The sequence below is a fragment of the Homo sapiens genome, chromosome X, assembly GCF_000001405.40.
Source record: "Homo sapiens chromosome X, GRCh38.p14 Primary Assembly".
Classification (NCBI taxonomy): domain Eukaryota; kingdom Metazoa; phylum Chordata; class Mammalia; order Primates; family Hominidae; genus Homo; species Homo sapiens.
Genome location: NC_000023.11, coordinates 132,343,440 through 132,368,468, shown reverse-complemented (window position 1 = coordinate 132,368,468; position 25,029 = coordinate 132,343,440). Strand labels below are relative to the sequence as shown.

The window sequence follows — 25,029 nt, the reverse complement described above, 5'->3', positions numbered from 1 at the left end:
TCAGGACTATTGCCATATGGGAAAAGAGATTTCAGTATTGAACAGGGTTCAATTCTAAATACAACAAGGAAAACTGGGAATTTATAGCCAAGGAGCAGGGTAGGGGACAGTGGATGGAAGATTACTAAGAGGAAACATCAGAGATAAGGGGCAGGGTGGGGTGGGGGGTGGATTCTGGCTAACCTGACCTAACAGGATTCTTGCTGAAGACAGGTCAGGGTGAAAAGACATCAACTGGGAGTTGGTAGAGGATGAGAAACCTGATCAGATATCAAGGGTGGGCTTCTGGCTAAACCAACTTGGCAAGATTCTTGCTAAAATTGAGCAATGCAAAGACAAACATGGAAGTGTAAACATTGAGGCCAAGTTGGGAAGAGGACTCAGAGGAATCTGACTAAAGTTTAATCAAGGAAAAACTTCATCACTGTACATTCCAGGCAAGTTAAAGCACTGTTGGGGAAATGTAATAAAACAAGAGATCTTCTCCCAATCCAGAAATCTTCTCCAGAAAGATAGTAAAGAAAGAAAACACTCTTATTATTGAACAAACATTAAACCAGAATGTGATGTACATCACAGGTAACTTGCTAAGAGAATGCAAAGACAGAAAGGAATCTCACCCCCTAATATAGCCAAGCAGATACAACCCATTACATGTATGTTCCCAATATAAGTAATGACTAGTCCTTGAGCAAGAGGATTTGAGAGCACCTTTTGTCACACAAAATTTTGTCCTAACTTTATGGTGATAATTGGAGAAGTCACTTGTGTTGGCTTTATCTGAAGAAGAAACAAATTTTCTCATCTATTTTAAGCAGGAGGTAGTTTTGCAAACTGGAGCAAGGCCCATGAAAGTTAGGCTCTTACCCTCCTATGGGAACTAGGGGACAGGGTTGCTACCTCCCTTGATGTTTGCATTTCAAAAAGATAGCTCCTAGGAGTTGTAAGACTGGAAGAAAGGCTTACTTATTTAGCTATTAAAAATATTTGCATAAAAAAGACTTGCAAAGGACAGAGAAAGAAATTTTAAAAGAAAACGGAAGGGGGTAGTGTAGAAAGAAGACTCTTCCCTTATGTTCAACAGGGAAAATTAAGCTTCTTATTTTTAACTTGTATCTGCCTTACACCACTCTCTGTTTCCCAGATACACACCATAGGTTCCCATGTCTGCCTTTTCGTCTCAACTTGGAACATCTTTTCTTCTTCTTCTTCCTCTTCTCTGCAAACCCATCCTATGTTGACATGGTTTGGCTGCGTCCCTATCCAAATCTCATCTTGAATTGTAGCTCCCATAATCCCCACATGTCCTGGGAGGGACCCAGTGGGAAGTAATTGAATCACTGGGGGTGGGTTTTTCCTGTGCTGTTCTTGTGACAGTGAATAAATCTCACGCGATCTGATGGTTTTATAAAGAGCACTTCCCCTGCACATGTCTCTTGCTTGCTGCCATGTAAGATGTACTTTGCTCCTTCTCCACCATCTGTCATGATTGTGAGACCTCCCCAGCCATGGGGAACTGTGAGTCCTTTAAACCTCTTTCTTTTATAAATTACCCTGTCTCAGGTATGTCTTTATTAGCAGCATGAGGATGGACTAGTACATATGTATGTATCAACTAGCACTCCCTTGAGGTCTTCTCTGGCCTCACCTGCTACACTGAGATGCAGCTAATATTTTTTTAGTGCTTACCAGGTGATCTCAAAGCTCAATTCCCACATCCTCTATAGCGCTTCTAACGTTGTCTCTGTGCCTCCTTCATTAAATCTGGCTTCTCAAGAGCAAGAACCATGTCTCTTTGATTTTAGTATCCTTTATGATACTTGGAACAGTAGCCATACAGTACAAATGCAATAAAAACTTGGGGGAGAAGGCCGGGCGCAGTGGCTCATGCCTGTGGTCCCAGCACTTTGGGAGGCCAAGGCAGGCGGATCACGAGGTCAGGAGATCGAGACCTTCCTGGCTAACACGGTAAAACCCCATCTCTACTAAAAATACACAAAATTAGCCGGGCGTGGTGGCGGGCACCTGTGGTCCCAGCTACTCAGGAGGCTGAGGCAGGAGAATAGTGTGACCCTGGGAGGCAGAGCTTGCAGTGAGCCGGGACTGCGCCACTGCACTCCAGCGGGGGCGACAGAGCGAGACTCTGTCTCAAAAAAAAAAAAAAAAAAACTTGGGGGAGAAATAACTAACAAGTCAGGGCACTTTTATTATAATGAAGAAAGAAAATCCATTCAAATAAAAGGGATTCATGTAATGATATAGAAAAATTTCAGTTTCCAGTTGCAGGAAGAACAACTGGGCCTCATGAAATTGAAAAGTTATCAGATGGCTTGTTTCTCCCCTGTCTTTCTCCCTGCCTTGATCTCTCTGTGTCTGTCTGTCTGTGTCTCTCTGCTCCATTCTCCTGCTTCTGTGTGCAAACCAGCTTTCTCTGCTTACTTATAAGCACTGATAATAACTTATCAGTGATTGATCAGGACTACTCCCAGAATGGCAGCCTTGTACCAAGAGTCTTCATGAGTGATAGCCAACCTGAGAAGCACCTGCAAGGCTTATGAAACAAAGATTGCTGGGGACCCACCCCACAATTTCTGATTCAGCAGCTATGATATGAGGTATGAGAATTTGCATTTCTAACATGTTCTCAGATGGTTGATTCTAATGCTCTGTGGACTACACTTTGAAAACCATTGATTGATATGAACTTCAAGCTTGACTCCCCACAGAGAATTGACTCAGTCACTGGGTTCCAATGCCTGAGTCTCATGAGAGAGAATCTGATTGGCCCAATTTGAGTCAGATGCTATCTCTGTTGCACTTAGTTGTGGCCAAGAGGTTGGAGTCACATGGTACATATGACATGTTGTCTCTTTGAGGCTGTGGGTTGGGAAACTTTCCCAAGAAGGTAGATCTCTAGTACAGTCACTGCCATGGCTGTTTTTAAAGACATTAGATTTTCTACACTGAATTAGTTCCTTGGTTCATGTGGCTCAATTCTCCATAGCCAATAGAGCTGATAGGAAAATAATAACCATCTATTGGGCATCACCAGCCAGTCATCTAAAATTGAATCAAAACTTTATGCTCAGCCCTAAAATCATAATCTTCCTGGGCCGGGCGCAGTGGCTCACGCCTGTAATCTCAGCGCCTTGGGAGGCCGAGGCAGGCGGATCATGCGGTCAGGAGATCGAGACCATCCTGGCTAACACGTTGAAACCCTGTCTCTACTAAAAATACAAAAAATTAGCCGGGCGTGGTGGCAGGCGCGTGTAGTCCCAGCTACTCGGGAGGCTGAAGCAGGAGAATGGCGTGAACCTGGGAGGCAGAGCTTGTGGTGAGCTGAAATCGTGCCACTGCACTCCAGCCTGGGTGATAGAGCAAGACTCTGTCTCAAAAAAAAAAAAAAAATCATAATCTTCCCTCTCAAATATGCTGCTCTCCAGTCAGTAGTGCAAGTCAGAAACTTATTTGACTCTTCCTCCTTTACTCCAATCTATAAACTTTTGTCAATTCTATTTCCTAATTATTTTCTCTATCCCTACTATGCCTGGTTAGTTTAACTTTACACCCTACCTCCAGTGATTTTTTTTCTAAATCTGTTCTTCACATGACTTTCAGAGTGATCTAGCTAAAGCAGCTTCTCAACCTTAGCTCTCAGGACAGTTGTGTTGGGCACGGGACAGCTGGAGCCTGCGCCTGTTGTCTTCAGCAGCATGCAGCTGCAAGTCTACCTCACCCAGAGTGCCACACAAAAATTATCATGCTGCATATACTAAGATGTGATATGAAAAGAGATTGGGAAGCTTGGATCTAAAGCACAACTTTGACTACGCACCTCCTCTGCTTAAAAACTTTCAAAGACACCCCATGGGTCTTGGGATAAAGCCTAAATACACCTTACAATAGCCTATAACATCTGGCATGATCCAGTCCCTGTCTAACTCTCCAGCCTCATCTCTTGCCATTACTTGCCTTGGACTTGCTTCAACAAGCACACACTTCAACAGCACACACTCTGCTGTTTCATGCCTACAAGTCTTTGCCAGTGATTTTCTTTCTGCGTGGAATGTCCACGCTCCCCCTTTTTGCCTGGCTACCATCATTTGAGGATCTGTTTAAGTACCATATCCCCCAAGAAAACTTCCACTTCTGCTCCACACCTCCATTAATGTACTCCTTTTTGAAACTCCCATTATACCTTGAGCACGTGTCACTGGATTTACCACACTGTATTAAAATATTTTTTCTGCTTCTCCCACTATCTTGTGAATTTTTTTGAGTAGAAGTTATGTGTCTTATCTGTTGCTCTGTTTCCAGCAACTAGTGTAGCGATTAGAAAGTAGTATCATACAACTCAATAGCAACAACAAAACCCAGCTTGAAGATGAGCAAAGACTTGAACAGATATTTCTTCAAAGGTATGCAAATGGCCAATAAGCACATGAAAAGACATTCAACAGCATTAGGTAAAGGCAAATCAAATCACAATGAGATACCACTTGATAACCACTAGGATCACTATAATTTTTGAAAACCCAGAATGTAACAGGTGGTGAGAATGTAAAAATTGGAACACTTAGTGCTTTGCTGGTAAGTGTGTAAGATGATACGCCACTGTGGAAAACAGTTTGGTTGTTCCTCAAAAAGTTAAACATAGAATTACCATATGAATCAACAATTTCAGTCCTAGGAATATACCCAAAAGAACTGAAAGCAAGATCTTAAACAGACATTTGTACACCCATGTTCACAGCAGCATAATCCACAAGGGCCAAAATGTGGAAGCAACCGAAGTGTCCAAAAACAGATACATGAATAAGAAAAATATAATATATGCATAGAATATTATTCAGCCGTAAAAAGGAAGGACATTCTGACATATGTTATAATATGGATGAACTTTGAGGACATTATGTGAAATAAGCCATTTCCAGAAAGACAAATACTGTATAATTACACTTAAATGAGGTATCCAGAATTCATAGAAACAGAAAGGAGAATAGAGGTTGTCAGGGACTAGAGGGAGGAGGAATAGGTAGTGTTTAATGGGGTAAGATATGGTTTGGCTCTGTGTCCCAACACAAATCTCATATTGAATTGTAATCCCCACGTGTTGGGGGAGGGGGCTGGTAGGAGGGGATTGCATCATGGGGGTGGTTTCTAATGGTTTAGCACTATCCTTCTAGTGCTATCTCGTGATGGAATTCTCATGAGATATGGTTGTTTAAAAGTGCATAGCACTTCACCCTTCACTCTCTCTCTCCTGCCCTGCCATGGTAAGACGTGCTTGCTTCCCCTTCAGCTTCCGCCATGATGGTAAGCTTCCTGAGGCCTCCCAATCATGCTTCCTGTACAGCCTGTGGAACTGTGCATCAATTAAACCTCTTTTCTTCATAAATTACCCAGTCACAGGCAGTCCTTTGTAGTAGTGTGAGAACGGAGTAATACAGGGTATTATAGAGTTTTAGCCTTACAAGATGAAAAGAGTTCTGGAGGTGAATGGTAATGATGGTTGCACAATGAGAATGTACTTAATACCACTTAACTGTACACTTAAAAATAGTTAAGATGGTAAATTTTATGTTATGTATATTTCACCACAATTACAAAAATAAAAGCAGATGACTCCACTGCCTCTATGCTAAGCTTGGACACAAGAATTCCACTTCCAAGACAGGGAGACACAGTCCTGGGGATCAGTCTCACTCATTGTGCTACCCAGACATTTCCTTCTCAGGTTCTGCCATATCCCCCAGAGCACTGAGAAGGTACAGGATACACAACAAAATAGAAATAGGTTCCTAACTGAACTCCCTTCCTTTTATCTGGTCTTTTACATCGCTCAGGAAGTTTTCCAAATCTCTTTCCCATTTTGCCTTTTCTGTCGTTTCCATCCCCATGCCTTCATCTCTATCCCTGCCCCCACTTCCAGGACTATCCAGAATAATTCCCTAAATAAGGCAATGCTTTAAAAACCAGCCAGCCAACCAACAAACAGCAACAACAAACAGGATGAGAGTTGGGTTCTCATATCTGATTCAAAAGCACATAAACAATGGAAAATAAAGTCTTGGTTACCCACATGATATGGAAGGGGAAAATACCTACAGCACTGAGGAAAAAATATACCCTACTGTCACTAAATGATTCTTAGCATGAGCAGAATGGGAGGTGGCACATTGTAAGACTATGAGGGTCTACTTGTCAGGGTACTTCTGGTTGTAAGTGAAACACTTCAAAATAATGTTGGTTTAAGAAAAGAAGACATATATTAGGTCAAAGAGTTGACAGATCCTGAGTGGTTTGATTTCAGGCATAGCTGTATGCTGGCACTCAAGCTGTGAGGATAGAAATCTGCCTCTTTTTATCAGCTGTAATTTCTGTGTTTATCACTGAAAGGTCCACCCTTGCATCCATGTAGAAATAATCCAGAAAATAGATACTTGTTCCCAGTTGTTCCAGTGTAAGTCCTAGGGCTGATTCATACAGTTCTAGCCAGATGCTAATATCAGTTTGGGTCACATGCCCATTCCTGAAGCCAGAAAATAGAACATTCTCCTTGGCCAGGCTTGAGTTTATGTGCCTACTCTTTGAACCAGGCAGTGGGAAATCACCGCTCAAATCTTGTGGATTGAAAATGAGAGGGAGAGGGGGAAGGAGAAGAGGGAGAATGCAAGAGCTGGTTCCTTGAAGGAAAACCATAGTGTTTTCCCCGAACAATCGGAATGTATGTTGGATAGACAAAAACAACACATGAACACTATATTCCACTATTTGATAGCCTGCCGATTTACAAAAGCTCTTCGACTAATATAATTATATCATATACAGATGAAAGTGTACTTGTGCCCTCTATACAGAGACAACCCAAGTACATATACCCTAAGGGTATCCTTTTTTGTTTTTTTTTTTGTTTTTTTGTTTTTTTGACAGAGTCTTGCTCTGTCACCCAGGGTAGAGTGCAGTGGCACAATCTCGGCTCACCGCAGCCTCTGCCTTCCAGGTTCCAGCGATTCTCCTGCCTCAGCCTCCTGGGTAGCTGGGAATACAGGCGGATGCCACAATGCCCAACTAATTTTTGTAGTTTTAGTAGAGACAGGGTTTCACCATGTTGGCCAGGCTAGTGTCAAACTCCTGACCTCAGGTGATCTGCCCGTCTCAGCCCCCCAAAGTGCTGGGATTATAGGCATGAGCCACTGCGCCTGGCCAGGGTATCCAATTTTAAGTGCAAGATCTTTTAGTGATTTACAGTCATCTTGGACACGTCTTGATGTAGCTCCCCATGGTCTCACATTTATGGGTACATGATATTCGACTCCATCTAAAATATCCAATGTCCAATATTAGAGGGAAAACAGGATGAACTAAATAAAACCTCCAATTTGGAAGTATGATTCCATTTATACATCATTCTGGAAAAACGAAAACCATGCAGCGGAAGTCAGATCAGTGGTTGTCATGGGTAGGTGCAGGGGTCGACTAAAATGGGGCAACACGAGGGAATTTTGGAGGATGATAAATCTGTTTTATTTCTTAAATCTGGTGTTTGTGGTTTTATGACTATGCATTTGCCAAAACACATAGAACAATACACCACAAAGAATAAAATGTATTATACATAAACCCAAATAAGTCAATAAAAACTTCTTCCTTCGGCTTTTGTGACATTTCTCATTTTCCTCCTTACTTTTATCACTTATCCTCCTCTACTCAGAGAATATATGAAGATCTTCAGGGTTTAGCCCAAGGCCACCATACATATATATATGATAGAAAGTCTACACTATACTCAAAGACAATCTCATCCATTTCCACGATACACATCTCTAGCCAAGACACTTCTGACCTTCAGACCTTCTGATACACTTCAATGTCTTATAAGCATGTCAAACCCCACATGTCTAAAACAGAACTTAGTGCTATGTCTTCACCTTTAGCCATGCTTCTATCCCAATCTTCTCTATCTTAATAAATGATACCATTATCCACTTATTTGCTTAAGGCAGAAAAGTGGGAGTCATACTTGGTGTTCCCCTTTTCTTCACTTCCCACATCCAATCCTACCTCTTAAATTTATGTTAATCCTTACTCTAGTCCAAGCAGTTATTATACAATCCAGTTTCAACACCTTCCCTTTTTCTGTATTCTAACATCATTCTAAGCACTCTGGATTTCCTTCAATTCATCGAAAGCACTATGCCTTTGGGTCTTTGCCCATACAGTTCTTTCTTTCTGTAATACTTTTCTCTACCTCATCCCCCTCAGACTTAGCTAGATCTTAGCCTTCAAGTCTCAATGTAAGTTTCACTCTCTTAGGAGGCCTTCTTTGATTTCCTAAACTAGGTTAGGTACACTTGCTATCTACTTCCACATTGCTTTTATCATAACAGTGAATCCACAATTACTTCTTTCATATTTTATTCCTCTGCTACAATCTAAGCTTCATGAGGGCAGGACTATGTCTGTGTCATTTTCTCTCATCCTCAGTACCCAACACTTGACAAGCAATGCTTGCTAAAGATAGAGACAGGTAAGTGAAGTTAGAAGTTTATACTACAGATCCAGAGGCATGTGTGGACACCAAATGCATACTCGGACCTCTTTTGGAGGTATGTGATTCCACTCCTCTGCACTTTCTTCAGTTTGTTTTCCACCATCCTTAGGATGCTCATCTAACACTGACTCTCCCCACTCTGAGTTAGTGAGGGAGAAGCTTTCAAAAGTGATGGAAGGCTGCCACCCTGGGTTAGAGGGAAATGTATAGAGGTGTGGTAGGTTCTCTTGTCTTTTTTGGGCTTGTACACACTCCAACCACCTAGATGATCAACTGTTACTGATGCCTGGGAGCGATCAACAGGATCCAAAATTTTCCTCAAAATTACTTAGAAAAATATAATGCATGGGACATGGTTTTGAGAGTAGCTGACTAGTCCTGGCCTTCAGTCCCCTTTTCTCATCTTGTGACAGAAGTGCAACATTAGGAAGAGAGTTTTGCCTGAAAACATGAAGAAGCATAACCAACACATTCATAGCTTTTCCAGTGCATCGATGTGGTCCCAGTCAGTCTGTAAATACTTTGATGCCAGAGATAATGTTTTACCCTTTGTTAATCCTCACATTGCTAGTAACTCAACAAATTGATTGAATCAGCCTAAGAGCTATGTACAGATCTGATTTGCAACAGACATCTGAAATTTTAACATTACCCAGTATAGAATACACTAATCTGGTAGACCTTAATAATTATTCATAATTATAATGAAATGTTTATGGATCTATATGCTCATTTTATTGTAAACACAATTATTAGTCTTAATTTTTTGGTAGATGCAACATTTACTGAGTACAATGACATCTTGAGAGGAAAACATATTTTTGTGAGTAAATACAATTAATTTTTATCTTTGTACCTACTGATGTAAATGCTGTTGCTGAACTGTACTCCTGTATATATTCTTTATTTTTCTTTTTGTTTTTCATGTATCCTGTATTCTTGGAGTAGATATTAGACATCTTTCCATAGGGACATCATTTAGTGTGTATGTGTGTGTATGCATTATATTTAACTTTTGTCCCCAATACCTTGTATTTTATGGCTCACAGTTGAACATATATTGTCCACATTATGCCCTTATGAGTTGATTATTGCTTATTGATTGTTCATACTTAATGCCTCTATTTTATTGTCTTATTTTTCAAATTCTTAGTCTCATATCTAAGTCTTCCTTTTCTTTTACCTTTTCTTCATTCATTTTCATCATCATTGCTTCATTTTCATTTTGTAGTTTATTTCCCCTCACATCAGGTTTTTGTTGTTGTTGTTGTTGTTGTTGTTGTTGTTGTTTTCGAGACAGAATCATGCTCTGTCGCCCAGGCTGGAGTGCGGTGGCATGACCTCGGCTAACTACAACCTCTGCCTTCTGGGTTCCAGCGATTCTCCTGCCTCAGCCTCCCGAGTAGCTGGCTAATTTTTTGTGTTTTTAGTAGAGATGGGGTTTTGCCATATTGGCCAGGCTGGTCTCAAACTCCTGGCCTCAAGCAATCCACCCACCTCGGTCTCCCAAAGTGCTGGGATTACAGGTGTGAGCCACTGTGCCTGGCTTCACATCAGTATTTTTTATATGGTCACAGTTCTATCACACAAATCAGTCATGTTGAAGTTCTAAAAACACTGAACTCATTTTTAAGTTGTAAACATAATAGAACACACAAACATAAAATTTACCATCATGGCCATTTTAAATGTAGAGTTCACTAAGTATATTAACATATTTTGTGCAACCAATCTCCAGCAGTTTTTCATCTTGTAAAACTAAAACCATCCCCATTAAACAACTCCCGATTTACCAACTCCCCCCAGTCCCTGGTAACCACCATTCTGTTTTCTTTTTCTGCGAATTTGGCTACTCTTAATAATGCATATAAATAAAATCATACAATATTTGTCTTTTTGTGATTGCCTTATTTAACTTTAATGTCCTCAGGGTTCATTCACATTGCAGCATGTGCCAGAATTTCCTTCTTTTTAAGGCTGAATAATATTCTACTGCATGTATATCCACATTTTGTTTATCCATTCACCCACTGATGGACATGTGGGTTGCCTCTACCTTTTGGCTTTTATGAATAATGCTGCTATGAAAACGGAAATACAAACATTAAACCTTTTATTAAATACTTAGGTAGGTAAATACTCATTAATGGATAAAATTTCTTAGAAACCATGTTATATAATGTATTTGATTTGAAATTAAAGTACTTAAGATTACGTATTGTAGAAATTCTAAGCTTTAATTGCAGAAAATGATTGGGAAAATAAATGCTCAGGAATGCCTATAATTATCACCTGTGTGTATCAAAATTTACAAATTAATAGACATAATTTTTCACATATCACCAGATACCCATATGTTCATTAGCTGCCTTGATTACATGAAAATTATGCCCATTTGAACCCTGACGAAATATGCCTAGGCTTTATGAACACACACACACATACACACACACACAGACACACACACACAAACACACACACAAGCTTGCACGGAATCAAGTGGAAAAGGGGAGGGACTAATCCCAGTTTGGGAGCTCTGAATTATTAGAACAGGCAGGCTTCAGTAACTGAAGGAGCTTTCCTTAGAAAACTTATGAAGGAGAGCTTGAAACTAATGGTCAGGTTCCTGGAAAACTAAGATTAGAATCATAAAAAAAGGCTAGGCCTTTATTCCCAAACAGAGGAATAAAGGAATCAATGGATCTGGTAAATGAAAATGAGACTCCCAGACCAAAAGTAGAGGGGAATGAAGTTTGGGGCACCAATAATATAATTGAATGAGTAAAATGATGAAGTATTTCAACAAATAATTATTTAAACATTAAATGGTTATTTTACAACTGCAAGATGCAATATCTGAAATTAAGAATTCATTGGATAGTTTTTTTTTTTTGAGATGGAGTCTTGCTCTGTTGCCCAGGCTGGAGTGCAGTGGCATGATCTTGGCTCACTGTAACCTCTGCCTCCCGGGTTCAAGTGATTCTCCTGCCTCAGCCTCCCTAGTAGCTGGGATTACAGACATATGCCACCATGCCTGGTTAATTTTTGTGTTTTATGTAGAGATTGGGGTTTCACCAGGCTGGTCTCAAACTCCTGACATTAGTTGATCTGCCCGCCTCGGCCTTCCAAAGTGCTGGGATTACAGGCATGAGCCACCGCACCCAGCCCATTGGATAGATTTAATAGCAGAAGATAGTATCAGTCAACTGGAAGATAGGCCTATTGACAGGTCAATAGAAAATTTAAACTGAACCTCATGAGAAAAATGAATGTAAAAATCAAAACAGCACATAAGAGAAATGTGGGATACAGACAAAGGTCTAGCATATATGTAATTAGAGTCCCAGAAGAAGAGAAAAAGGAGAATGGAATGGAAGAAATAATGAATGGAAATTTTCTAAATGTGATGAAAAGCATCAACTCACAGATTCAAAAAGCTCAGTGAACGTCAAGCAGAATAAATATGAAGAAAAACAATTTATGTACATCATAGTCAAGCTGCTCAAATCAAAGTTAAAGTGAAAATCCCAAAAGTGCCCAAAGGAATAAAACACATTGTCCTGAGAAGAACAATATAAGAAGATAGCTGACTTATCCACAGAAACTATGGAAAGCAGACGACCATAAAATGACATCTTTAAAGTGCCAAAAAGAGCAAAAGAAAAACAAAAACATGTCCAACCTAGAATTCTACACCCAACATTTCAAAAATCACTGAAAAAAACTCAGACAAAAGCAGAAATAAATTTTTGCTAGTATTAGAAAAAAATACTAAAGGAAGTTCTTGAAAGCTGAAAGAAAATTACTCCTTGGAACTTCAAGAAAGAATGAATAGCACAGGAAAGGCTAAATAATTTGGTCATTATCAAAAATTATTGACTATTTAAAACAAAAGCAATAATAAAGTTTTGTGGGGTTAAATGTAAAATATATCTTGTGATAACTGAAAGGGTGTGAAGGGTGACTAGGGTTAAATTCCTGTAAGGTTCTTGCATGGTTCCGAATGGAGAAAAAGTATTACTTTAAGGTGAACTTCATTAAGCTACACATGTATTTTGAAATTTTTAGGATGACTTCTAAAAGAACAATAAAAAAGTATAACATAAAGACTAATAGAGGAGATAAATGGAATAATAAATGCCTTATTAAAACAAAGAAAGTAGAAAAAGAGAAATAAAGAAATGAAGAATAGATGGGACAAATAGAAAATAAATAGCAAAATTGTAGACTTAAGACAAACTATACTGATAATTGCATTAAATATAAATAGACTAAACACCAAAAATAATGAAACAATGAAAATAACTGAATTGACAGACTCGATTTTAAAAAAGACCCCAATTATGTCTACAAGGAGCAAGAAACACACTTTAAATGTTAAAACAGAAATAGGTTGAAAGTAAAAATATAGAAAAAGATACACCATGTATACACTAACCAAAAGAAAGCTTGTGTGACTGTATTAATATTAGACAAACCATACTTTAAGGAAAGATACAGGAAATATTTCATAATTCTAAAAGGCTCAATTCAGCAAGAAGATATAGTTCTATGTATGTACCTAATAACATAGCATTTATGTATGCATGTACATGTGTATGTATCTATTTAGACAGCTGCTGGAGAATGTGTAATTTGTATCAACTGGCCAGAGACTGCTCAGTCATGGTTCTTTAATTTAGACCCTCATTTAAGAATTTCTGTCTCTTTTGAAGAGTCTCCATCTGTGACAAATGAGCTTGGGTAATGATACAGGGGTAATTTACTCCTTGTTCCTGGCCTGTATTCTAATGGACAGCCCTTTGTAATAGCGAATAAAGAATTTAATAAGCTAATAATTATTAAATTTATTAAGGAAAGGAATATAGGTCAGTAAGAAGTGTTTGGGATGGAGCTAAGGAATCACATCCCCCAATTCGCACCTCCCCTGGTCCCAGTCTGATTTACCAGTGTTTCCTACTTTCTCTAACTTTAACAGGAGAAATAGACATTGAATATTTACAGTAACTCTCAGCCATCTTAAATTCTTAAGTGCAGCAAGATATAGCCTTGTTTAAGAAAGTTTTGTGCCCTTTCCTTTCTGCTTACACATGGGCCAGCTTTGACCAAAGTTTGTATCCATGCAGATACTAACTAGAGGCTACAAAAAGTAGCAATCACATCATAATCTTGAACATTTTCTAGCTCCAGACCAAAAGGTACATAATATTAATCTAACCAATAGGTACAAGTTTCAGTAGAAACAGTTTAACCAGATGGTATGCAAGTTTATAATAAGGAGTGCCAGCTTCCTGGTTGGAGATGAGGGGATCCTCTTGCCTTGTAGCCGATTTCAGTGAAGCAAATTTTGTATTTAGGTCTGCCACCTTTTTTTTCTTTTTGAAATGGAGTCTCGCTCTGTCGCCCAGGCTCTAGTGCAGTGGCGTAATCTTGGCTCACTGCAACCTCCACCTCCCAGGTTCAAGCAATTCTCCTGCCCCAGCCTCCCAAGTAACTGGGACTACAGACGTGCACCACCACGCCCAGCTAACTTCTGTATTTCTAGTAGGGAGAGGGTTTCACCATGTTGGCCAGGCTGGTCTCAAACTCCTGGCCTCAGGTGATCCGCCCACCTTGGCCTTCCAAAGTGTTGGGATTACAGGCGTGAGCCACTGCACCCGGCCTAGGTCTGCCACTTTCTAGACACCAGTTTTGTTTCTAATTTTGCTTTAGCCAGGACTCTTTCAGATGCAGGCAACAACAACCCATGTTGAAATAGCTTTGGCGGCAAAGGGATACATTGGCCCACACAACTGGAAAGTCCAAGGGCAGATCTGGCAGAGTTGGACCCAGGGGCTCAACAATGTCATCTGAGTTCTCTTTTCATTTCTTAGCTCTGTTCATCTCTATGTGCTGTTTATTTCTTAGGTTCTCCACATTGGCAGGAAAGATGGTTGCTGGTAGTTCCCAGTCTATATTTGTGTAACTAAAAATTCAAAAGGTAGATGGATATTTTTTCCCCCAGAATCCTTATAGAAAATCTCAGGAAAGAACTCTGATTGGCTCTGCTTGGTTCATGAGCTATTCTCTGTACAAATCACTGTGACTACGGGGGATGCAGAACAAAGATCAGTCTAGTCCGGGTAAGATGCCCATCCCTATGTCCATGAGAGAAATGTATCATTTGTTAGAGAAAAAAAAAAAAACCTATATAAGGTAATGACAGAGGGATAGTTCCTAAAACAAGGTGCTATTGGGCAATCAAAGAGGTATCATGTTTACTATAGACTTTGACCCTTATATGTTTTTCTGCTTGCAAAATAATACACGTTCACTGTAAAAAATTCAAAATTTGCAGGAATGCAGTCTAGCATTTTGGTGAAAAGCATGTCTCGGAAATCAGATAAATCTGGGCTTGAAAGACATTTTAATTTTGTAATTGCGGGTAAGATACTTCACTTTTCTCATCCTTACTTTTGTCATTTGTAAATAGGGCAAAACAGTAATACTGACTTCATATGCTATTTATAAGAATGAATTGTGGTAATGCATGAAAGTGCTAAGAGCACCATCTTCTTATAATAAAGGCATATACCAAATATGCATGTAAAAATAAAAGCATGTAATAAACATTAAATAAAATGATTCACAATATAGAATGTCCAAGTCATCACTATTTTCATCTGATCCGACTTCAGCCCACCAAACTGTTATCATACTGACATATATTTCTCCATATTTTTTGCCTTGTACTTATGCATGCTCCTTTTGTTCCTTAAGTAATTACAGGATAGTACCATACATACTATTTTGAAGCCTACTTTTTAATCTGCAATTCTCCCCTCTTTTTACAACAGTAGAGATTATGTCACTGCTCCCATGTGAGGCAATCACTATTTCTACCTTTACATTCTCCACCTTCCTGCCTTCTAGGGAACCTTATACTATCAACCATCCATTCCATCTCTGGTACCATCAACCTCTTTCTTTCACCGTGAACTTTCTCAACAATACTTGTGCCTCATTAAGTCCCTTCTTTATTTAAAAACCCTTCCCTAGACCCCACCACCCTTTCCAGTTACCCTCTTGTCTCTCTTCTCCCATTTATAGATATACTTCTTTAAAAATTTGTCTTTTTTCTATCCATTTTGTTATTCCTCAACCAACTCCAATCTGTCCTCTACTCCTCCAACAAAATAGCTTTATGAAAGTCATCAATGACCTCCTTGTTACCAACTCAAGGGGACCTCCTTGTTACCAACTGAAGGGGACACTTTATGATCCTTATCCTATTTGACCTCTCAGCAGCACTTGACCCTGTTAATCTTTCCTCCATCTAGAAAACTTCTCCCTTGACTTTTGTAAAACCACATTCTACTGTTTTTCCTTCTATCTCTCTGGTCCATGCTTCAAAGTTTTTGCAGATCCATTCTCTTCTTTCTGGGCTTCAATCTTGGAGTTCTTCAAGGTTCTGCCCTAGTATAACTCCTCCTATACTTCCCATACTCACTCCCTAGGTGATCTAATTCACATTCATAGCTTCCATTACATCTAAATGTCAATGACTTCCCAATGAAATCTCTAGCCTACACGTCACCTGTAAGATCTGCTTGATATATCAAATTTGATATCTTCCTTATTATTATTATTATTATTATTATTAGTAGTAGTAGTAGTAGTAAGAGATGAGGTCTCGCTATATTGCCCAGCCAGGGCTTGAACTCCTAGCCTCAAGCAATCCTCCCACCTCAGCTTCCCAAAGTGCTGGGATTACAGGCATGAGCCACTGTGCCTGCCCCAATTTGATATCTTGAAGACCCTTTAACTTCTCATCTCCACACATCTAAACCTCTTTCAGTGTCCAATGTTATTGAATGGTACCCCATCTACTCAATTCCTCAAGCCAAAAATCTTAAGTATCATCCTTGACTCTTCCTTGTCTTTCAACTCCCCTATATTGAATATATTACAAATTTCAGTTAATTTCACTATTTAAATATCACTAAAATCTATCAAATTGTCTTCATGTCTTCTGCTATCACCCTAGACTGATCTTACTTAAAGTACTAGACAAATCCCCCTATCTGTTGCCCTGAATCTTCTCTGATTCCCCTGTAATACAGGCTCTGAACTGCAGCCAGAGTCTTTTTTTCAAAAACAAATCTGATCGTATTGCCCATTTCTTTAAAAAAGAAAAATACTTCAGTGACTTTACATTGCTCCTAACATAAAGACCAAAGTCTATAATGTGGTTTCCAAACTTTTATGGTTTGGCTTTTACCATACACTCCAGGCTCATGTCTTACTATTCCTCATCTTATTATCAGAGTTTATTCACAAAGTTGTGCTCCATCCTACAATAGGGCTTGTGATGATCCTTAATGATACCTGCTACTCTTTTGTCTAACTCCTTCCCAACTTTCACACATCAGAGTAAGTGCCAGTTACCTGTCCCATTCTACTACTTCCTGTTCTACTTAATATTTCTTTGTTATATGTTCTTATGGGACTTTTATTCCATTTTCATTTGGACTGATATTTCATTAAGGACTCTGTAATTTAGTCTTTATTATTGTAGGATTATTATTTTTTCATCATTTTTCCTGAGCTGAACTCATTTCATTTCTTGCTAGGTTTTTTTGGTCCATTTATGTTCTTTGGTTTTGTATTTCTCAATGATGTCGTTTTTTCATATCTCTGAAAGCTTTTTTGAAGAGAAAGAAACATAGACATATAATTTACTTCAAAGTATTTTCAATTTTATTTCACTTCATGTTTTTGGGGGAATAATTTTTACCATCAGAAATCCTTGGATTATTATATTCTTGTTTCTTACAGTAGTTTTTTATGGACATGGTCAGTCTTTTTTCTATTTCTATTAAATTTATGGACAGGATTCCTAGTTAAAGAATGCTCTTCTGTCAGTTCTTCCCTCTACTATGAAGTTTCTTTTATCAATGGTGGTGTTGGTGCAAGGGAGTGAGTCTTTTTTCCCTTATTTTCTTCTTATTTCCATCTTTTGCTACACAGCCTCATCTCTAAAGGGTACTGACACTTCTCTATATATCTAGTTCTCCCACAGGAGCATGTGAGGCTGCCCCTTCTGGTCCCACACACATTCAAGCCCTTTTCTTGCAATCGGTGCTTTGAACTGCCAAATCCCAACCTGTGTTCAATATTTTGTCAATGTTGAATGCTCACATTCTAGGGGTGACTTTTATTTGTGCCTCATCTAAGTCCTCTGATCACATCAACACTTTTTGAAGGTGCCTCTTAAACCTCCCCAGTCCCATTTTCTGCATCCACAAGCTTGCAACAGTAAGTGGACAGCAAGAGGTGTGTTGGAATTAGTTCTCTTTTTATCCTTGAGGGTCACTTTAAGGTTGGAGTGTTTGCTGTTTCTTAGAAATGCTGAATGCATGCATCATGTATGCTTATATATATATTTCTTGGTGATTTTAAGAGTTTTTGAAAGGTGGGTATGGGAGAGATTCAAAATAAGGCAGCCATCCTTATTTTTTAAACCTGCCTTCCTTTCAAAAAATAGTTTTGTCACATATGTTTGTTTCCCTAAAGATTATATTGCCTGGAATTGCTTATATTGAACTTTATTAAAATGCTATCATTCTACATATATTCTTAGAATTGTATTTTCACTCATGATTTCTAATATTTATCCATGTTATTGTATAACCTTAGTCCATGTGTTTTTACTGCTGCATAGTATCCTATTGCATTTATTATTTATACCACTATTGATGGACATATAGATTATTTCTTATTTTGGTTACTACAATCAGTGCTACCATAAACAATTTTGCACATGTTTCTTGATGCACATGAACAAGAATTTTTCTGGGGCTCACTGTCCAATATGGTAGGCAGTAGCTACATGTCACTATTGAGCATTTGAAATGGGCAGGTAAGAACTGAGATGTGCTATAAATGTAAAATACACACTGGATTTTAAAGACTTACCATGAAAAGGTAATGTAAAATATCTCATGGATAATTTTGATATTGATTACATGTTGAAATCATAATGTACTGGATATATTGGTTAAATTAAATATAAAAATGAATATCACCTTTTTTCTTTGTACTTTATATTACTTCAAGAATGTTCAAAATTACATATTAGGCCTGCATTTAGGAATCATATCACATTCCTATTGGAATTTGCTGCTCTAGGGTATAAACCTAGGAATAGAATTTCTGGGTAGATTATGCGAATCTTCACTCTAACGATAAAGCCAAATTCATCTTCAAAGAAATTGTGCTGTGCTGATTGATATGATCAACATTACTGTACAAGAATTCCTATTGATCCACATTCTCTCCAATACTTAGTATTGTCAGACAATTTAATCACTGTCAATCAAATGAGTATAAAGTGGTACCTCATTGTGTTCTCAATTTTCATCTTCTGGATTATTAATGAGATTGAGAAAATTTTTGTATTTTTAAATTGGCATTCATGTTTCTGCATGAAATGCCTGTTTTGTCTTTCTTCTCTCTCTCCTTCCCACTAGCTCATTTTGATTTTCACATTGATTTGTAGAAATACATATGATATTTAGGACACTAAAACTTTGTCTGCTCTATGTATTTCAAATATCCTTTCTCTGTTTATGGTTTGCATTGTCACTTTCTTTTTGCTACATTTTTATAAACCACAGTTCTTAATTTTAAATGTAGTCAAATTTATCAAACTTTGTTTTTTATGATTTATGCTTTTTTTGTCTTGAGTCTAAGCTAGCCCAAGGTCACAAAGACATTCTCTTATAGCTCCTTCTAAAAGTGTTAGAAGATGAATATGAAATTCATAGACATGTAATATCTTTTCATTTATTTAGGCCTTCTTTAATGTCTTTAATGAAGGTTCATAAATTTCTCCACGGATGTCTTGCACATGTTTTATTATATTCATTCTCAAGTACCTTAATAGTTTTCTAGCTATAAGAAATGTTATCTTTTAACAAAAAGCTATGCTTTTTGTGTGTTGCTAGAATATATAAATGCAATTACATTTTTCTGTGGATCATATTGTGAGCCATATTGATAAACCATATTATAATTTGTAATAATTTTACATAGATTCTTTTTTGTTTTCTGTGTAAGAAATAATATGACTTGCAAATAAAGACCATTTAATTTTATCCTTTTTAAAAATTTCAACTTTTACTTTAAGGTCGGTGGTACACGTGCAAGCTTGTTACATGAATAAATTGTGTGATGCTCAGGTTTGGGGTATGAATAATCCCTTCAGCCAGATAGTAAGCACAGTACCAACTAGTTTTTCAACGGTCATCCCATCCTTCCTTTCTCCCTCTAGTAGTCTTCAGTGTCTGTTGTTGCCATCTTTATATCCTTGTGTACTCAATGTTTAAGCTCCCACTTATAAGTCAGAAAATGCTGTATTTGGTTTTCTGCTCCTGCATTAATTTGTTAGGAAAATCACCTCCAGCTGCATCCATGTTACTGCAAAGGACATGATTTCATTCTTTTATATGGCTGTATAGTATCCCATGGTGTATAGATACCACATTTTCTTTATCCAGTCCACCACTGATGGGCATCTAGGTTGATTCTGTGTCTTTGCTATTGTGAATAGTGCTGTGATGAACATACAAATGCGTAAGTCTTTTGGGTAGAAGAATTTGTTTTCCTTTGTTATGTATCCAGTAATGGGATTGTTGGGTTGGATGGTAGTTCTGTTTTAAGTTCTTTGAGAAATCTCCAAACGGCTTTCCACAGTGGCTGAACTAATTTATATTTCCACCAACAGTGTATAAGTGTTCCGTTTTCTCCACAACTTCACCAATATCTTTTGTTTCTTGACTTATTAATTATAGTCATTCTGACTAGTGACAGATAGTATCCCATTATGGTTTTGATTTGCAGTTCTCTAATGATTAGTGATGTTGAGCATTTTTTTTCATATGTATGTTACCTGCACATATACCTTTCTTTGAGTTTTCATGTCCTTTGCCTTCTTTTTAATGGAGTTGTTTTTTGCTTGCTGATTTGTTTAAATTCCTTATAGATTCTGCATATTAGACCTTTGTCAGGTGTATAGTTTGTGAATATTTTCTCCCATTCTGTAGGTTGTCTGTTTACTCTGTTAATAGTTTCTTTTGCTGTGCGGAAACTCTTCAGTTTAATTAGGTCCCACTTATCAATATTTGGTTTTGTTGCAATTGTTTTTGAGGACTTAGTCACAAATTCTTTGCCAATGCCAATGGACAGAATGGTGTTTCTTATGTTTTCTTCTAGAATATTTCTAGTTCTAGGTCTTCCATTTAAGCCTTTAATCCATCTGAGTTAATTTTTGTATATGGTGAAAGTTAGCGGCCTAGTTACGTTCTTCTGCATATGGCTAGCCAGTTATCCCAGCACCATGTATTGAACAGAGAGTCTTTCCTGATTGTTTGTGTTTTTTGACCTTTGAAAATCAGATGGTTGTAGGTGTTCAGCATTATTTCTGGGTTCGCCATCTTGTTCCATTGGTCTACTGTGTCTATTTTTGTACCAGTACCATGTTGTTCTGGTTATTGTAGCCTTGTAACATAGTTTGAAGTCAGGTAGTGTGATGCCTTTGGCTTTGTTCTTTTTGCTTAGGATTGCTTTGGCTGTTTGGGCACTTTTTTGGTTCCCTATAAATGTTAGAATAGTTTTTTCTATTTCTGGGAAAAATTTGTAGTCTGATAGGAATAGCGTTCAGTCTGTATATCGCTTTGGGCAGTATGGCCATTTTAACTATATTGATTCTTCCAGTCCATGAGCATGGAATGTTTTTCCATTTGTTTTTGTCCTCTATGATTTTTTTCATCAGTGTTTTGTGGTTCTCCTTGTAGAGATCTTTCACCTCTTGGTTAGATGTATTCCTAGGTTTTTTTTTTTTGGGGGGGGTGGCTATTATAAATGAGATTGTGTTCTTGATTCAATTTGGGTAGCTTCACACTTTAGTCCTTAATCCATTTGGTTTTATTTAGCTGTAGGGTGTGAAACGATGGTTTTATTTCACTTTCCATATACATAACCAATTGTTCCAGTTCCATTTATTGAACAACTAAACTTTCCTTACACAGAGATTTCAATGCTTCTGTTACATACTAAGATTCTATATGCACATTTCTGTTTCTGGGTTCTCTATTACTTTACATTGGTTATTTTATTTGTCCCTTCATTTAATAAAAGACACTGGCTTAATTGGTCTAGATTTAAAATAAATTTCGAAGCAAGTAGGGCAGATTCCTTTGACCTTTTTTTTCACAAGTGTCTTGTCTGTTTTTGGCCTATTGCTCTTACATATAAATTTTGAATTGGCTTATTAGAATATGGTTTTGGGAGTTTTTATCAGAATTGCATAGAATCTATAGACATTTTTGGAGATAATTGACATATGTAAAATGTTAAGCCTTCATATACATGAAGAGAAAATATCTCTCCATTAATTCTCCATTATTTCTTTAATGTCTTCAGAAAAACATTTACAATTTTCTCCATAGGTGTTTTGCACATTTTTTATATATTTACACCTAGGTACTTGATATTCTTGATATGGTAAGTGGTATATTTTGTTCAACTTATATTTTCAAAATGTTTATTGCTGGTAGATACAAATGAAATTAGGTTATGTACATTGCTCATATAGTTAGCCATATTGCAAACACTATTTATATATGTAATAATTTGTGCATTCCTTTAGGTTTTCTGTGTAGAAAATTATATCAATTGCTAACAAGAGTGCTTTTGTTTCCATTTTCTTCATTCATCTGTCTTTAATTATAATTTCTTATCTTACTGCATGGGCTAGAAACTGGAATACAAAGGTGACCAGGGGTGGTGATAATAGTCAGCCTTACCTTGTTTCTTATTTTAATCTGAATTTTTCTAACTTTCTCTCCCATAAAAAAAGAAATGTTTGCTGTAGATTTTTGCTAGGGATCTCAAATAACTTTTGGAAGTTCCCTTCTATTCCTAGATTGCTGAAATTCTGTGTCACAAAAGGGTGCTTAATTAAAAAAAAAAATTTATGGAAAGCTTATTCAAATCCTTTTTAACATAACTCCTTTTGAGATATAAATCAGAAAATATATAATTCCCTCTATTAATTCAATGGTTTATAGAATATTTACTGAGTTGTGCAACTATTGCCACTACCTAATTTTAGAACATTCTTGTTATTCCAAAAAGCAACTCTGTGCCCATTAGCAGTCATTGCCCATTGGATCCATTTCCCAGTCCCTAGCAAATGCTAATTTAGTTTCATTCTGTATGAATTTGGTTATTCTCAACATCACGTATAAATGGCATGATACAATATGTAGTCTTTCATGACTGGCTTCTTTAACTTGTTATAATTTTTTTTCAAGTTTATCCATGTTGCAGCATGTATCAGTTCAGTTCTCCATTCCTTTTGATGCCTATATAATATTCCACTGGGTGGATATACAACATTATGTTTATCAACTCATCAATTCATGGATATTTTGGTTGTTTCCATTTTATGGCTATTATGAATAATGCTGCTATGAAACATTTGTGTAAAAATATTTGTGTGAGCAGATGATTTCATTTCTCTTGTGTATATAATTAGAAGTGAGATTGCTGGATCATACGCTAACTCTACATTTAGCCATTTGAGGAGTTTCCAGAGTGTTTTCCAAAGCAGCTGCATCATTTTACATTCTCCCCAGCAATTTAAGAGGATTCCAATTTCTCCACATCCTTGCTAACACTTGTTATTGTCTTTTGTTATTATTATTAACATTGCCATCTATTGGGTATTAGGTTGGCTCTCATTGTGGTTTTGACTTGTATTTCTCTAATTATTAGAGATGTTGAGAATCCTTTCACGTACTTATTGGTTGTTTGAATATTTTCTTTGAAGAAATGTCTGTTCAGTTCCTTGGTCCATTTTTAAGCTGATTTATTTCCTTTTAATGTTTAGTTATAAGAAATGTTTACATATTCTGAACACACGTCTTATCAGATATATGATTTGTAAATATTTTCTCTCATTCTGCGTTTGCCTTTACTTTATTGATGGTATTATTTGAAGCAATAAGTTTTTAATTTTGATGAAGTCCAATTTAACTATTTCTTTCTTTTGACATTGTGCTTTTGGTGCTGCATCTAAGAAACTATTGCCTAACCCAGGTCACAATGATTTACTTCTGTGTTTTCATCAATGAGTTTTATAATTTTAGCTCTTATATTTAAGTCATCAATCTACGCTTCTACTTTTGACATATTTGTGTCTTTGAATTTAAAGTATTTCTTGTAGATAGCATATTGTCAGATCATGTTTTATTTATCCAATCTGTGAATTTCTATATGTTGTTTGGAGTAGTCTTTTTGCACTTAACATAATTACTAATAAGGTAGGATTTGTGTCTGCCATTTTGCTACTTGTTTTCTATACGACTTATGACATTTTGTTTCTCTTTTTCTATTACTGCCTTTTTGAGGCTATGTATATATGCAAATAAGTTTAGAATTGCTACATATTTCTAGCAATTTTAGCCTTTTATTCTGTGGTGACCCTGTTTATCTCTAATAATTCATTGTAAAATTTTCCTAGTAATATTGCGATCATAGCTTCCGTTTTGTCTACTATTTTGTCTGATACATATTTTTTTCCTAGTATATCTTTTGACAGCTTATTATTTCAATTCTTCTGGGAAGGGTTTACTTTATCAGATTTGTTATATGTTTATAATTGTCTCTATCATCTCACTGCTTTATTTCTATTTGAAATTTTTAATACTTCTCTCTCATTGTCTCTCTCCCCTGATTAAATTATAGTACAATTATTGCTTTTTTCACATTCCATCCTTTTTTCCTGTAACAGTTTGGAATTTTACACCAAATAATATTTTTAGGTGGTTATCATTAAAATGTTGTTTCATAACACAACCTAAAGTTAAAAACAGTACCTTAATCTCCCTCCCAAACAGTACACGGATCTTAATACATTTTAATTCTTATCAACCATATTTCCATTTTTGCCAACAACAATGACAACTTACATGCCATTTTGGTCCAATATTTTATTTTTGTCAATTTTTTTAAGCTGCTAGATTAGACATAATTAAGATTTTGTACATAAAATGTGTACCGAGACTGTTATACATGCTTACTATCTAATCTGTTTAACATTCTTTTGCAAAATCAGCTTTAAAAAATATAATTTAGAAACAATAGATCAGCTGAGGTCAGGAGTTTGAGACCAGCCTGGCCAACATGGTGAAACCCCATCTCTACTAAGAATACAAAATTTAGCAGGGCATGATGGTGGATGTCTCTAATCCCAGCTACTCTGGAGGCTGAGGCAGGAGAATCGCTTGAGCCCAGGTGGCGGAGGTTGCAGTGAGCCAAGATAGTGCCACTGCATTCCAGCCTGGGTGACAGAGTGAGACTCCGTCTCAAAAAAACAAAAGAAAACAAAACATAAGAAACAAAAAAATGCACACATATTAAGCACAGAG

General features: G+C 37.2%; 1 long non-coding RNA gene across 1 annotated transcript in view; it reads right to left on the bottom strand.

The window, feature by feature from the left end:
* The window catches only part of RAP2C-AS1 (RAP2C antisense RNA 1), a 214,305-nt gene that overhangs the window by 64,343 nt on the left and 124,933 nt on the right, over positions 1 to 25,029 (bottom strand). The window lies entirely within an intron of this gene.